Source organism: Homo sapiens, chromosome 1 (assembly GCF_000001405.40).
Source record: "Homo sapiens chromosome 1, GRCh38.p14 Primary Assembly".
Taxonomy (NCBI): domain Eukaryota; kingdom Metazoa; phylum Chordata; class Mammalia; order Primates; family Hominidae; genus Homo; species Homo sapiens.
The window spans coordinates 56,672,075-56,686,129 of record NC_000001.11 but is presented as its reverse complement, the minus strand read 5'-3'; the positions used below and the strand labels follow the sequence as shown (position 1 = coordinate 56,686,129).

At 37.2% G+C, this 14,055-nt stretch overlaps 1 protein-coding gene across 2 annotated transcripts in view; it reads right to left on the bottom strand.

Moving 5' to 3' along the window:
• PRKAA2 (protein kinase AMP-activated catalytic subunit alpha 2) overlaps positions 1–14,055 on the bottom strand; it is a 70,022-nt gene that overhangs the window by 29,206 nt on the left and 26,761 nt on the right. For both annotated transcript variants that reach the window (NM_006252.4, XM_017001693.2), the window contains exon 2: positions 11,608–11,749. In NM_006252.4, the coding sequence (NP_006243.2) occupies positions 11,608–11,749 (142 nt within the window). The remainder of the gene's footprint in view (positions 1–11,607; positions 11,750–14,055) is intronic.

Sequence of the window (14,055 nt, the reverse complement as noted above, 5' to 3'; positions counted from 1 at the left end):
AAACTTTCTATAACATTCTAGAGTCTAAGGTAATTAATGTCTTGGTTATTAACTTTGTAAAAGTATATGTTTTCAGTCATCATTTCACATTGAATTTGGATTTCACTTCCTTTGTAAATAAATCTGTACATATCTCTAAAGGATAACTTAAAAATATATGTGTGTATGCACAATATGCAAAATATTGTTATCATGCATAAATTTAAAAAACCATGAATGTCATCAAATATCCAATCAGAAGATTTATTGATACAAACACAATCAATATATTGTAATTGGCTCATTTGTCTCTTATGTCTCTTCTAATTTATAGGTTGCTCCTCTATCTCTGTTGTTTTTTTCTTGCATTCTTTTGTGGAAGAAACCAGTTAGTTTGTTAAAGAGGATTCCACAGTATGAATTTTGTTGTTCCATCCTTTATAGCAGCAAAATGCACAATTTCTAACCCACTCTTAAATCTAGATACTTGATCAGATTTGTTTCATTTTTGCAATTTTTGTTTTCATTTGAAAGACTAAGTAGTGTAGTGTACCTCTAGCCAAAGGCATATAATGTGTCTCTTTTTCTGACACATTGGAAGCCACTGTTGATCAGAGCCTAGATGCATTAATTCACATTAATTTAATGAAATCTTAAATGCTGGCAAATTTGCATAGTCTAGTAATGAATGAATTCTGATCTAAAAGAAATTCTTACCCAAAACTTCCTCCCTCAAAAATCTCATTGTCTTTGAAGTGCAGGCCATCAGATAATACCTCCTCATACCTTTTCACATTATAGTCATCAATCAATCTTTTACTAACTCCTTCTCATTCTGAATTAATGTCTTTTTCCCCATTGCTACTACTGTCACTGTTTCAGGTGTAAGTGATATCTTTATAGATAATCTGTGATATAAACAGACATGTTAACATCATAGTGCTCTAGAGCTCAGTCCTTGGACTTCTTGTTTATCTGTACTCATATCTTTGGTAACCGCATCCAGTCTTAAGGCTTAAAATATCTTAACATATGGCCTTTAAGTTCTTTGAATGCCTCATTTCTAATTATCTTTTCTTCCACCACACACAGCCAACCACTCCATGGTCATATACTTTCAAAGACTAACTCCTCCAGTTATGCACTGGATTATCTCCCACACCTACGAAGGGACTTGGCTTCTATAATTAGCCCCTCTTTCTTTTGTATCAATTCCTTCCTCTTGACTGAATCACTCCTTTTGGCATACCAACATTCTACAATATCTCCCATTTTAAAAAGCTAACCTTGTTTAGACTCCTCATTTCCTTCTGGTTACCACTCCTATGTCTCTCCTCTCCTGCCTATAGTTACTATCTCCCCTTTTTTATCTCATATTCCCTCTTAAACCCTTTACATCAGGTTTTTGCCCTCATCATTCCAATAAATTGGTTCTTTTCAAAGACAACAGCAACCTCCACGTTGCCAAATCCAACAGTCAATTCTCCGTTATCATCTTACTCAATATTCACCAGTAAAAGGGACAGTTGGTGATCTTTCCTAAAACACTTTCTTCTCTTGGCTTCAAGATACCCGATTCCCCTAATTTTCCTCCCACCTCACTGATCATTTTCATTCTCTTTTACTGGTTCCTCCTCATTTTTCAGACATGTTAGCATCATAGTGTTCTAGAGCCCAGTCCTTGGACTTCTTGTTTATCTTGGTGATTTCATCCAGTCTTAGGGCTTTAAATATCTTAAATACAGTCTGTCTGCTGATGGCTTCCAAATTTATCTCTCTAGCTTACACCTCTCCCCTGAACTCCAGATTCACTTATTCAACAGCCTACTTACATCTCTACTTGGATGTCTAATAAGCATTTCAACTTCATAAAACCAAAATTAAATTGTTGAAACCACCCCCCTAACATCCCACCTCAAACCTGTTCCTCCTACAATCTTCTCCACTTCAGTTACTGGCAACTCCATCCTTGTTTTTTCGCCGAGGCCAGATGCCTTGGCGTCATCCTTAACTTCTTTCCTCTCACAACTCACATTTTATCTGTTAGCAAATGCTGTTGACTCTATCTTGAAAGTACATACAAAACATGCTTACTTCTAAACACTACTACACTATGCTGTATTTCAAGCCAACATCATCTTTTACAGATCACTGCAATTGACTCCCAATTGGTTTCCCTGCTTCAACTCTTGCTCACCTACAGTCTAAATGTAAGTCAGATCACATCATACCACTAATCAAAGCCTTCCAATGGCTTCCCATCTTAGACAAGAGTAAAAGCCAAAGCCCTGACAATGGCCTATAATGCCCTTTATGTCTCTGACCTTATCTCTCACTCTAATCTTCCTAGATCATTCTGCTCCCTTGATCTCTGACCTGCAGGAATTTCTACTTTCCTTTGTATTTGCTCTTCCCTCTATGTGTAACATTCACCCACTTCAGATATCTACATGGCATATCCCCTCACCTCTTCACTGTCTAACATATGACATATAATAAGGGATTTATTGTCTATTTCCCCACCACCCCTCCACCACACACTAATATAATCTCTATAATAGCAAGGATTTTGTTGTTGTTGCCTTTTTGTCTGTTGCTGTATCCCTAGTGCCTAAATGGTGTCATCTGTTGAATGAATGGATCAACCAACAACCTGCCTTTCTGGCTTTATTTTTCCACTTCCCTATACATACTCTGTGCACCAAACAAACCAGACTGTTTGTTCCCAATACACCATATTCCTCACACTTTCATTCTTTTGTTCTTGCTTGGACTCCTAGAGCCATCAGGACCTTGTTCAAATGTCATTATGGAGCTACAAGTAATTATTGAATACCTACTACTGTGCTAGTTGCAGGAGAGATAAAGATGATAGATGATATCTCCATTTACATGTCTAATGGATTCTTAGCTTATCATGGCCAAAACAATATCCTTAATGTTCACATCTCTCTAATGTTTCTTTTCCATTCTTTCCATCTCAGAAAATGACACCACTATCACTACCTACTTGCTCAAGCCAAAACCCAAAATCCCAGTTGCTTAAGCAAAAAAAAAAAAAAAAAAAAAAAAAAAAAAATTCCTTTCTTTCTCCTCCTTATCTAACCCATCAGTAATACATTAGTTCTCCCTCCAAAATACATATCAAATCCATCCATTTCTCTCCATCTAGACCAGGACTGTTGAACAGAACTTCCTACAACGATAGAAATGTTTTTTATCTGCTCTGTCCAACACAGTGGTCACTAAACATATGCAGCTATTAAGTACTTGAAATGTGGCTAGTGTGACCAGACAACCAAATTTTTCATTTTAATTAATTTAAATTTACACAGCCACATGTGGCCACTGGCTACTGTATTAGCCAACACTAATCTAGATTATCACTTTGGTTAAAGCCACCATAATCTCCCAGGTAGACTATAGCAATAGCTTCCCAACTGGTCTGTCTGCTTCTACTTCTGCCACCATACCCATTCTACACTATATTCATATCATGTTACTTCTCCAACTCTCCAAAAGTTCCTATTTAGAACACAATCAAATTTCTTAGCAAGGCCTTCAAATCCCTTTGTTATCTGGTCCCCATCTACTCTTAGAATTCCTGAACTACTTCTCTTCTCCTCACTCCACTCCTGAGAGTACATAATCTTCCTTTGCCTACAACACTTGAAGTTTGCTTCACCTCTTTGATGTTGCTCTTCCCCTTGCTTTGAAAACATTCTGTCCCCAGATTTTCACATGTCAGATCTTCATCATCCTTTAGGTCTTAGGTCAAACCTATCTTCTTAGTGAGGCTTCCTCATACCTAATCTAAATTAGCCCTTCTTCTTTCCTAGTCACACTCTGTGACAGCACCATGTTTCATTCTCATAGCACTTATCTTTACCTAAAATGATCTTGTTAATTTGTTTACTTACTGTCCAGAACATAAAAAACACAAGAAAGAGACTCTGTCCTTCATGATTATATCCCCTATGCCTAGAACAGCACCCAACCCATAGTAGGTGCTCAATAAAAATCCCATTCACAATTGCTTCAAAGAGAATAAAATACCTAGGAATCCAACTTACAAGGGATGTGAAGGACCTCTTCAAGGAGAACTACAAACCACTGCTCAATGAAATAAAAGAGGACACAAACAAATGGAAGAACATTCCATGCTCATGGATAGGAAGAATCAATATCGTGAAAATGGCCATACTGCCCAAGGTAATTATAGATTCAATGCCATCCCCATCAAACTACCAATAACTTTCTTCACAGAATTGGAAAAAACGACTTTAAAGTTCATATGGAACCAAAAAAGAGCCCACATTGCCAAGACAAGCCTAAGCCAAAAGAACAAAGCTGGAGGCATCACGCTAACTGACTTCAAACTATACTACAAGGCTACAGTAACCAAAACAGCATGGTACTGGTACCAAAACAGAGATATAGACCAATGGAACAGAGCAGAGGCCTCAGAAATAATACCACACATCTACAACCATCTGATCTTTGACAAACCTGACAAAAACAAGAAATGGGGAAAGGATTCCCTATTTAAAAATGGTGCTGGGAAAATTGGCTAGCCATATGTAGAAAGCTGAAACTGGACCCCTTCCTTACACCTTATACAAAAATTAATTCAAGATGGATCAAAGACTTAAATGTTAGACCTAAAACCATAAAAACCCTAGAAGAAAACCTAGGCAATACCATTCAGGACATAGGCATGGGCAAGGTCTTCATGTCTAAAACACCAAAAGCAATGGCAACAAAAGCCAAAATTGACAAATGGGATCTAATTAAACTAAAGAGCTTCTGCACAGCAAAAGAAACTACCATCAGAGTGAATAGGCAACCTACAGAATGGGAGAAAATTTTTGCAATCTACCCATCTGACAAAGGGCTAATATCCAGAATCTACAAAGAACTTAACAAATGTACAAGAAAAAATCAAACAACCCCATCAAAAAGTGGGCGAAGGATATGAACAGACATTTCTCAAAAGAAGACATTTACGCAGCCAACAGACACATGAAAAATGCTCATCATCACTGGCCATCTGATAAATGCAAATCAAAACCACAATGAGACACCATCTCACACCAGTTAGAATGGCGATCATTAAAAAGTCAGGAAACGACAGGTGCTGGAGAGGATGTGGAGAAATAGGAACACTTTTACACTGTTGGTGGGACTGTAAACTAGTTCAACCATTGTGGAACACAGTGTGGTGATTCCTCAAGGATCTAGAACTAGAAATACCATTTGACCCGCCATCCCATTACTGGGTATATAGCCAAATGATTATAAATCATGATGCTATAAAGACACATGCACACGTATGTTTATTGTGGCACTATTCACAATAGCAAAGACTTGTAACCAACCCAAATGTCCATCAGTGATAGACTGGATTAAGAAAATGTGGCACATATACACCATGGAATACTATGCAGCCATAAAAAAGGATGAGTTCATGTCCTTTGTAGGGACATGGATGAAGCTGGAAACCATCATTCTCAGCAAACTATCACAAGGACAGAAAACCAAACACCGCATGTTCTCACTCATAGGTGGGAATTGAACAATGAGAACACTTGGACACAGGAAGGGGAACATCACACACCAGGGCCTGTCATGGGGTGGCAGGAGAGGGGAGGGATAGCATTAGGAGATATACCTAATGTAAATGACGAGTTAATGGGTGCAGCACACCAACATGGCACATGGATACATATGTAACAAACCTGCACATTGTGCACATGTGCCCTAGAACTTAAAGTATAATAAAAAAAATTTTTTTGAATTAAAAAAAAAACCATAATTCCTGCTCCTAAGTACTTCAGTCTTGTGGGAAATACCAATAAGAAAATGTGCAATTACAACACAATTTAAGGGCTTCGGAAAAGGTGAACATTGAGTGCTTTGAGAGCAAAGAGGAGTTAGAGCCTAACCTAGTCTTAGTGAGTAAAGTAGGTTTTCAGGGGTACAGTTGATCCTCAGACAATGTGGGGGTTAGGGTGTCAACCCCTGTGCATCAAAAATCCACGTTTAACTTTTGACTACCCCTAAACTTAACTACTAATAGCCCACTGTTGAGCAGAAGCCTTACAGATAACAGAAATAATTAACACACATTTTGCATGTTAAATGTATTATTTACTGTATTCTTATAGTAAAGTAAGCTAGAGACAAGAAAATGTTATTAGGAAAATCATAAGGAAGAGAAAATATACCAACTACTCATTAAGTGGAAATGGATCACCATCAAGGTCTTTATCCTTGTCATCTTCATATTGAGTAGACTGAGGAGGAAGAGGAAGAGGAGGGGTTGGTCTTGCTGTCTCAGGATAGCAAAGGTGGCATAAAACCCAATCATAAGTAGACCAATGTGGTTCAAACCCATACCGTTCAAGGGTCAAATGTAATTGCACTTAAAAGACAAGTTGGAATTGGCAGCCTAGGGAAAGGGAGATGTGGATAAAGTATTCCAAGCAGAGGAAACAGCTGAAGTACAACAAGCAAGATGGTAACCTGACAGAGCAAAGAAAAATGGATAAATTCAGAGGACACTTAGGAAAAAGAAGTGCAGACCTTAATGATTGATTGTATGTAAGAAATGAGGGAAAAGAAGAAATTAAAGATTTTGCCCAAGTTTGGGGCTTGGGAAACTGCATGAATGGTATTTTCATTTACCTCCCTCCACTCTCCCACCACACCCTCCAAAAACAGAGAAGTAAATTTGGAAGAGAGAGAAAAGTTTAGCTTCAGGTGACTCTGTGACTTTAGAATGTGAACATCCGATAAACAATTTGATAAATGTGCTCAGAAATCTGGAGAAACAAAAGGGCCAGAAATCATAAAGATTTGGAAATCTTCAGCATAGAGATGGCAAATGGCACCATGGTAGTAGATGAAATCATCAAAAGAGGGTTCACTAAGAAAATTACACTAGCTCAGTGTACTTGACTGCATCAATACTTAACAGCCAGGAAGATAAAGCGGGGCCCATAAAGGAAAGTTTTCAGAATAAACAAGAATGAAAAAAAGAAAACAGAAGCCTGAGGTGTCATGGAAACCTAGAGACAACATTTCAAGGTGGTGCTGGCGGTTAATGATGTTAAAAAGCAGGCCATAGGTTAAATAAGATAGACTAAAAAGAATTAGGCTGGGCATGGTGGCTCACGCCCGTAATCCCAGCACTTTGGGAGGCCAAGGTGGGCAGATCACGAAGTCAAGAGATCAAGGCCATCCTGGCCAACATGGTGAAACCCCGTCTCTACTAAAAATACAAAAATTAGCTGGGTGTGGTGGTGTGTGCCTGTAGTCCCAGCTACTCAGGAGGCTGAGGCAGGAGAATCGCTTGAACACAGGAGGCGGAGGTTGCAGTGAGCTGAGATCATGCTACTGCACTCCAGCCTGGGCAACAGAGCGAGACTTTGTCTCAAAAAAAAAAAAAAAAAAAATTAGACAAGATCATCTCTACCAGACTAACAAGCATCTTTTGACCAAGTAAAATCAAGTTGCATTAAGAATTATGGAGGAAAGAAAAAAAAGGACAAAAATCAATTCAACAAATTCTACTTCATAGGAAAGTTTGGATTTTTCTTTAAATCCTATTTGTGCCTTTTAATTTTCTACCAGTGGGTTTTAGGTCATTCATTTGTAATTTTTTTTTCAATTTGGGTTAATAAAGAAATCATGCAATAAATATCCTTCATTCTTGGCATTCAATGCTCAAACTTTCTTGCTAATTCTAGAGTCCCACTTTTGCAATAAGGAAACTATTCCTGACAGTCCAAGGCTACACAAAAGAAAACCACTGAAAGGGTAAGGTTGCTCTCTCTGTTTAAATCACTAACACTGTTACAGACGATGTCAATAAGCTTCTTCTGTAGCAAAAATACATGAGTGTTTTTTTGTTTGTTTGTTTTTTGTTTTAAGATCAGATCTACAATTAAAGAGGCAATGTGGCTGAATGAATTAATCTCAAGGCTGGAAGCCAAAAGTTTTAAACTGCAAATTCACCTCTGCCAATTACTTTCTGACCAACTCTGACAATCTTCTATAATTCCTTCAGAAAACAGCAAATAATTAAATAATCAGGATGAGACAGTCAAACAAAAATAAAATGATTGAAAGTAAATATAGAAATGGAGGCAAGAAAACACTGATAAATATGACATCAAAAATAAGTCTTCGGGCCTGGGCGCAGTGGCTCAAGCCTGTAATCTCAGCACTTTGGGAGGCTGCGGCAGGCTGATGGTTTTGAGCTTAGGAGGTCGAGACCAGCCTGGCAAAATGGCGGAAAGCCTGTCTCTACAAAAAATACAAAATTAGCAGGGTGTGGTGGCACATGCCTGTAGTCTCAGCTACTTGGAAGGCTGAGGCATGAGAATCATTTGAATCTGGGAAGCGAAGGTTGCAGTGAGCCAAGATTGCACCACTGCACTCCAGCCTGGGCAACAGAGCTAGGCTCTGTTAAAAAAAAAAAAAAAAAAGGAAAAGAAGCCTTAGAATCCTCATGACAATTATGACAATTGCAACTGCTTATTGATAAAATCTGATTTGTGTTTTTAGGAACTGGGAACTGTACAGATAGTAGGACTCATACCCAAACGGGTAAAATTTCCTCAAAGTCTTTCAGGGTTGGCATTGTAAAAGTGATGAGGTCAAGGTATAAGGCAAATATGGAAAGATCTTTCCCTTCCCCACTTTCATTCTAGCATATGACACTTTTAGTCTGGCTATTTCAGCTTTCTCTTCTCATAGGAAGTGGACACTCAGTGGGGAAGAGCAAAGAGATTTAGCTTAGATGTTACCCAGTAACTAGAACAAAGTCATGAATAATACAGAGTTGAAGTCAGAGACTAACTGTTTCAGTTAAGTGAAAACCATCTGGAATAATGAAAGAGGACTGGAATTAGTTTATAAGTTGCTAATTCCTGCTCTGGGCCAATGCTTATCAAACACTAGGCATTATACCAGTGCCAACACATTTAATCCTCAAATGAGGTGTCCCATTTTAAAGTTAAAGAAACAATGGATAGGAAAGGTGAGTTACCAAGCTCATGGGTGGAATTTTAATTCTTATGACAATCTTTAAAAACCTCTATATACATACTCTGGACCATCTAATACATAGGTCCTGGATGATAACCTTATAATCAAGTACTGCCATGCAATTTCAGGGACCTCATTTTGTTTATGTTTATGACTAAGTGAACTTCAAGTGAAGATCATATGACATTGAAGCTTACTCTAAGAATGAAGGTTTCCTAGCAGTGATGTGAGAACTGAGTCATCACCGGTCATCCACACCAATCCCATAAAAGCCTGCTCTGAACAGTCAGTGGCATACTCTTGCTGCCGGTAAGATGCACCACATGGGTCCCTTCATTAAAAATACCAATAAGCCACAGTTCACTAACAATAAGTACAGCAGTAAAGACTAAATGAATGTTCCAAATCTCAACAATAATTGGACCAGCCATTTATTTAAGGATTTCAAGAATGATGCTGTATTAGTTTCCCATTGCTGCCATACTTCAAACTCAGTGGCTTAAAACAACACAAATGTATTATCTTACAGTTCTTTATCTTAAAAGCTTGACATATGTCTCAGTGGGCTAAAATCAAGGTGCCAGCAGAGCTGTGTTGCCTTCTGAAGGCTCTGGGGCAGAATTTCTTTGCATTTCCCAGCTTGTAGAGACTGCCTGCATTCATTGACTCATGCTCCCTTTCCTCCATCTTCAAACGCAGAAACGGCCAGTTGAGTCCTTCTCCCATTTTATCATTCTGATGTTGTTTCTATGTTCAGACCTTTTTCTCTGACTCTTTTCTTCTACTCTTCTCCTCTACTTTTAAGAACCACTGTGTTAATATTTGGCCCACCTACATGATCCAGGATAACCTCCCTAGTTTAAGGTCAGCTGCTTAGCAATGTTACCCTTTGCCATGCAACCTAACATATTCACAAATTCTGGGAATTAGGAAATAGACATGGGGGGCAGGTATTACTCTGCTTACCACACTTATATGCTACTCTTGTCATCAAGTAAACAATATAACTCCACAGGGTTATCAAGTTGTTCCCATTAATGCTGACATTCAAAGACTGCTCACTGACAAAGATCAGCCTAAATATAATGCCTGATTTTAATGAACTAGCAAATAACATCTCAGTTATTAATACTTCTTTTTTAATAGTATATTTATATGAACATGCTTTCTCTGTACCAATCTTATTTGACTCACAATATAAATTTAGTATTTGATCTCCTCCTACTGTTTCCACTATTAAACTCTCTAACAATGATTTTGGTTGTTATAAAACACTGTTATTTGTCACATTATACTATTGATACTGCTTTGAATCCCATTGATTCCATTGTTTTTTTGTATTTAAATTGTGAATTTCTTTTGGTTTCATAGTTGTATTCGAACTATATGCATATAAAGTTTATACATAGGGCTTTGTTTCTTAAGTAATGGTATATTAAAAATAATTAAGTCAAAATGAGGGATCCATAAATTTATTTTTTCTTTAAAAGGAATTTATATAACTCTCAGTTTTAAGAAAAACTGGAATGCTGGAGCATTAACAGCATGGCATTTGGAATCAGGCTTGACCTCAACTACCAGCTCTGTGACTTACTAGCTGTGTGGCCTTGGATAAGCTGCTATTACTTTTTAGATAATGCAGTTTCCTTGTCTATAAAGTAAGCCTACTTTAGACACTGATCATGAAGATAATATTAAATTAAATAAGGAAAATGCTCCACACATTCAGCAGAAACTTGACAAAAAAAAAATGCTTGGTACAGTTCCTGACCACTATCAGGTACTCAATAAGTAAGAGCAATACTTATTTTATAAAACTGTATCCAAGCTTAAAGATAAATAAGACAATTTTCAGTGTCTAGCACGTTACATTTTCCCAACAAATATTAAACTGCAACTTTAAATGACTGAAAGAAACACATTATTGCACAATGAATATTTAAATTTTCTAGGGTCTAGTCAATTTTAAAATAATCTATTTATCTTTCAATTACTTATCTTATTTATCTCAATATTTACCTAACTTTTAAGTTTATAATTTATTCCAAGGGGAAAAAAACACATTTGCCTTCCTAAAAGCTTTATGGTTATAGTACTACTTTCAGTTCTACAAGTAATATACTATGTGAAATAATCTTTGACATATACTTTCTATCTTTCCAAAGGAAAAAATACCCTGAATGTTAGTGAAAATTGACTAGATAAAAATTATAAAAATGAATCTAGAAATGTCAAAGCCCTGAATGACATTTAAAGTTGGATAAGAATCAACTTCTAAATGTGATGAATCAACTTCATTCATCACTTGAGAATTGATGTACTAATTTAGAAACATAAATTGAGTACTAATTTAGAAACATAAATTGAGTACTAATTTAGAAACAATGTCTGTTCAGTCTAACCAAGAGTATGCAAAAAAAGGACTGATAAAGGTTAAATGAATTAACACTTGCTGAATATGAACATGAAAAAAAATCTTTGTAAAAGGTTAACAATTAACAATTATTATAAAATTCCTAAAAAACATTTTAAGATAGGTGTCTCTTTGGTATTATTAGATACAAAAATACTTACAGTTTGATAATATGAGGATGACGAAAGAGTTTTAGATTTTGAATTTCTCGTTTTATTTTTCCAACAACATCTAAACTGCGAATCTTCTGTCTATTTAAGATTTTAACTGCCACTTTATGGCCTGTTAATTGATGTTCTCCAACTAAAGAAAAGAAAAAGGAAAAAAAATGTGCTATCATATCAACATAATCATTTATTCATGCTTCCTTCCATTGTGCCCTAAACTTCTCTACTCATATATACCATCTTTATATCCCTTGTTGTACAAAACTACAGTTCTTTTTACTTCTATTTCTTCTATTAGAGTATGCACTCTCTGAGGACAGAAACTGTATCTTAGTCATCTCTGTATCTTTTGCACCTAACAGAGACGTTCCTATTTGTGGAATATTTGTGAAAATGATTACTGAATTCTATATTCTTACTAAAAACATAATCAACTTTAGAACATTGTTTGGACAGGAGAGAACTCACTGTTTCATTAATCTCTTTGTTTCTCTTCTTCTGTTTAATGCCAGTCATTGTATTATAGAAGAATAAATAGTGTAATAAATCAAAAATTCACAGTAATTACTATTTCAACAGAGAATTCACACCTAGCCCTTTTTTGTGCCTTTTTCATAAAGTCCTCTTATTTTCCCCCATTTGATGGAATCTCTATCTCTTTCAAACTGTTATAGTATGTTTATAAAACTCATGTGTCATTTACCATTTTTAATCTTTTATAAACATTTGCATTTGTGACAATCACATGACCTGAGCTATTAGCTCATACTCTCCTTGGACAAGATGACCAGTGCTCATCTGAATCTCTCAGGAAGTATATGCGCACAGTGCTTTGTACACAGAGGTGCTAAATCAATATATTCTATGATAAATATAGTCATTCTGTTTTTTCATATAACACATTCATGGCATCCACACTAACAGTGATATCTTTAAATACTGTTCAGGTGAAAAATCCCTCAGTCGAAGAACAAATTTGTCAGCTACCTCTCCCATTTTCCTCAATTCTATTCTAATCTTTCACTACTCTCCTCAAAACATCTATCTAACCCTCCTTTCAGTGACAAACACCCTTTTTTATTTCTTTAGAGAACATGGAAGTCATTTGGAGTGACTTTCCCTATCTTTTCATTTATTTATTTTGAGACAGGGTATTGTTTTGTTATCCAGGCTGGAATGCAGTGCAGTGAACATAGCTCACTGCAGCCTCAACCTCCTGGGCTCAAGTGATCCTTCTGACTCAGCCTCCCAGTAGCTGGCACTACAAGAATGTGCCAGCATCCCCAGCTAATTTTTCTTTAAATCTTTGTAGAGATGGGGTCTCACCATGTTGCTCAGGCTGGTCTTGAACTCCTGGGCTCAAGTGATCCTCCTGCCTCAGCCTCCCAAAGTGCAGGGATTACAGGTGAACCCCAATTTCCTCTATCTTAAAGGCTTACTTCTGTCCACATCCCTCCTCCTATTCAAAGCCAGTCTCGTCAACTTTGGCCTTGAACCCATCTTTTCTACACTGTCCTCATATTCAACCTTTTTCCTTTTCTAATGGCTATTTCTCTTAAGCCTATCCAAATCATATACCCTCCAAAACTTTTCCATTGATCCTGTATCTTCCTCTAGTTTCCAACTTGTCTCATTAAAATTTCTCAAGAGTAGTTACAGTAGTTACATTTATTGCCTTCTTTTCCTCCCTTATCACCATCCCTAAATTCACAGCTATCTGGTTTCCACCTCCACTCTACGGATACCAAACAGTCACAAAATACCCATTAATTAACAAGCCATGGATACTTTTCAGTTCTCAGATTACTATAACCTCTATTTCATCAGACACCATACCTCTTTTTGGTGGTATTTCTCTCTCCTGTTTCTCCTACTAACTCTCAGATGGCTTCCTTTATGTCCTCTGCCTGTTCTTTGAAGGTTAGTATCCCCAGGTTTCAAACCTAGGCCCAAGGTAGACCCTTATGTTATGTCATTCATCTCCCATAGTTTTAATTATCACCCATATGCCAGTGACCTCTGTCCCTCCTTTAAATTCATATTTCAAGATTAATATCCCAGAAATAACTCAAGTTCAACACATTCAAAACTAAATTCAAGGGCCAAGCATGACAGCTCATGCCTGTAATCCCAGCACTTTGGGAGGCTGAGGCAGGTGGTTCACTTGAGCCCAGGAGTTCGAGACCAGCCTGGGCAACATGGCAAAACCCCATCTCTACTAAAAATAAAAAATTAGCTGGGTGTGGTGGCACATGTCTATAGTCCCAGCTACTTAGGAGGGTGAGGAAGGAGGATCCCTTGAGCCTGGGAGGCGGAGGTTGTAGTAACCCAAGATGGTGCCACTGCAATACAGCCTGGGTGACAGAGTGAGACCCTGTCTCTAAAAAAATGAAAAACAAAAACAAAAAAACCACATTCAGCATTCTCCTCCTCTTCTTCACC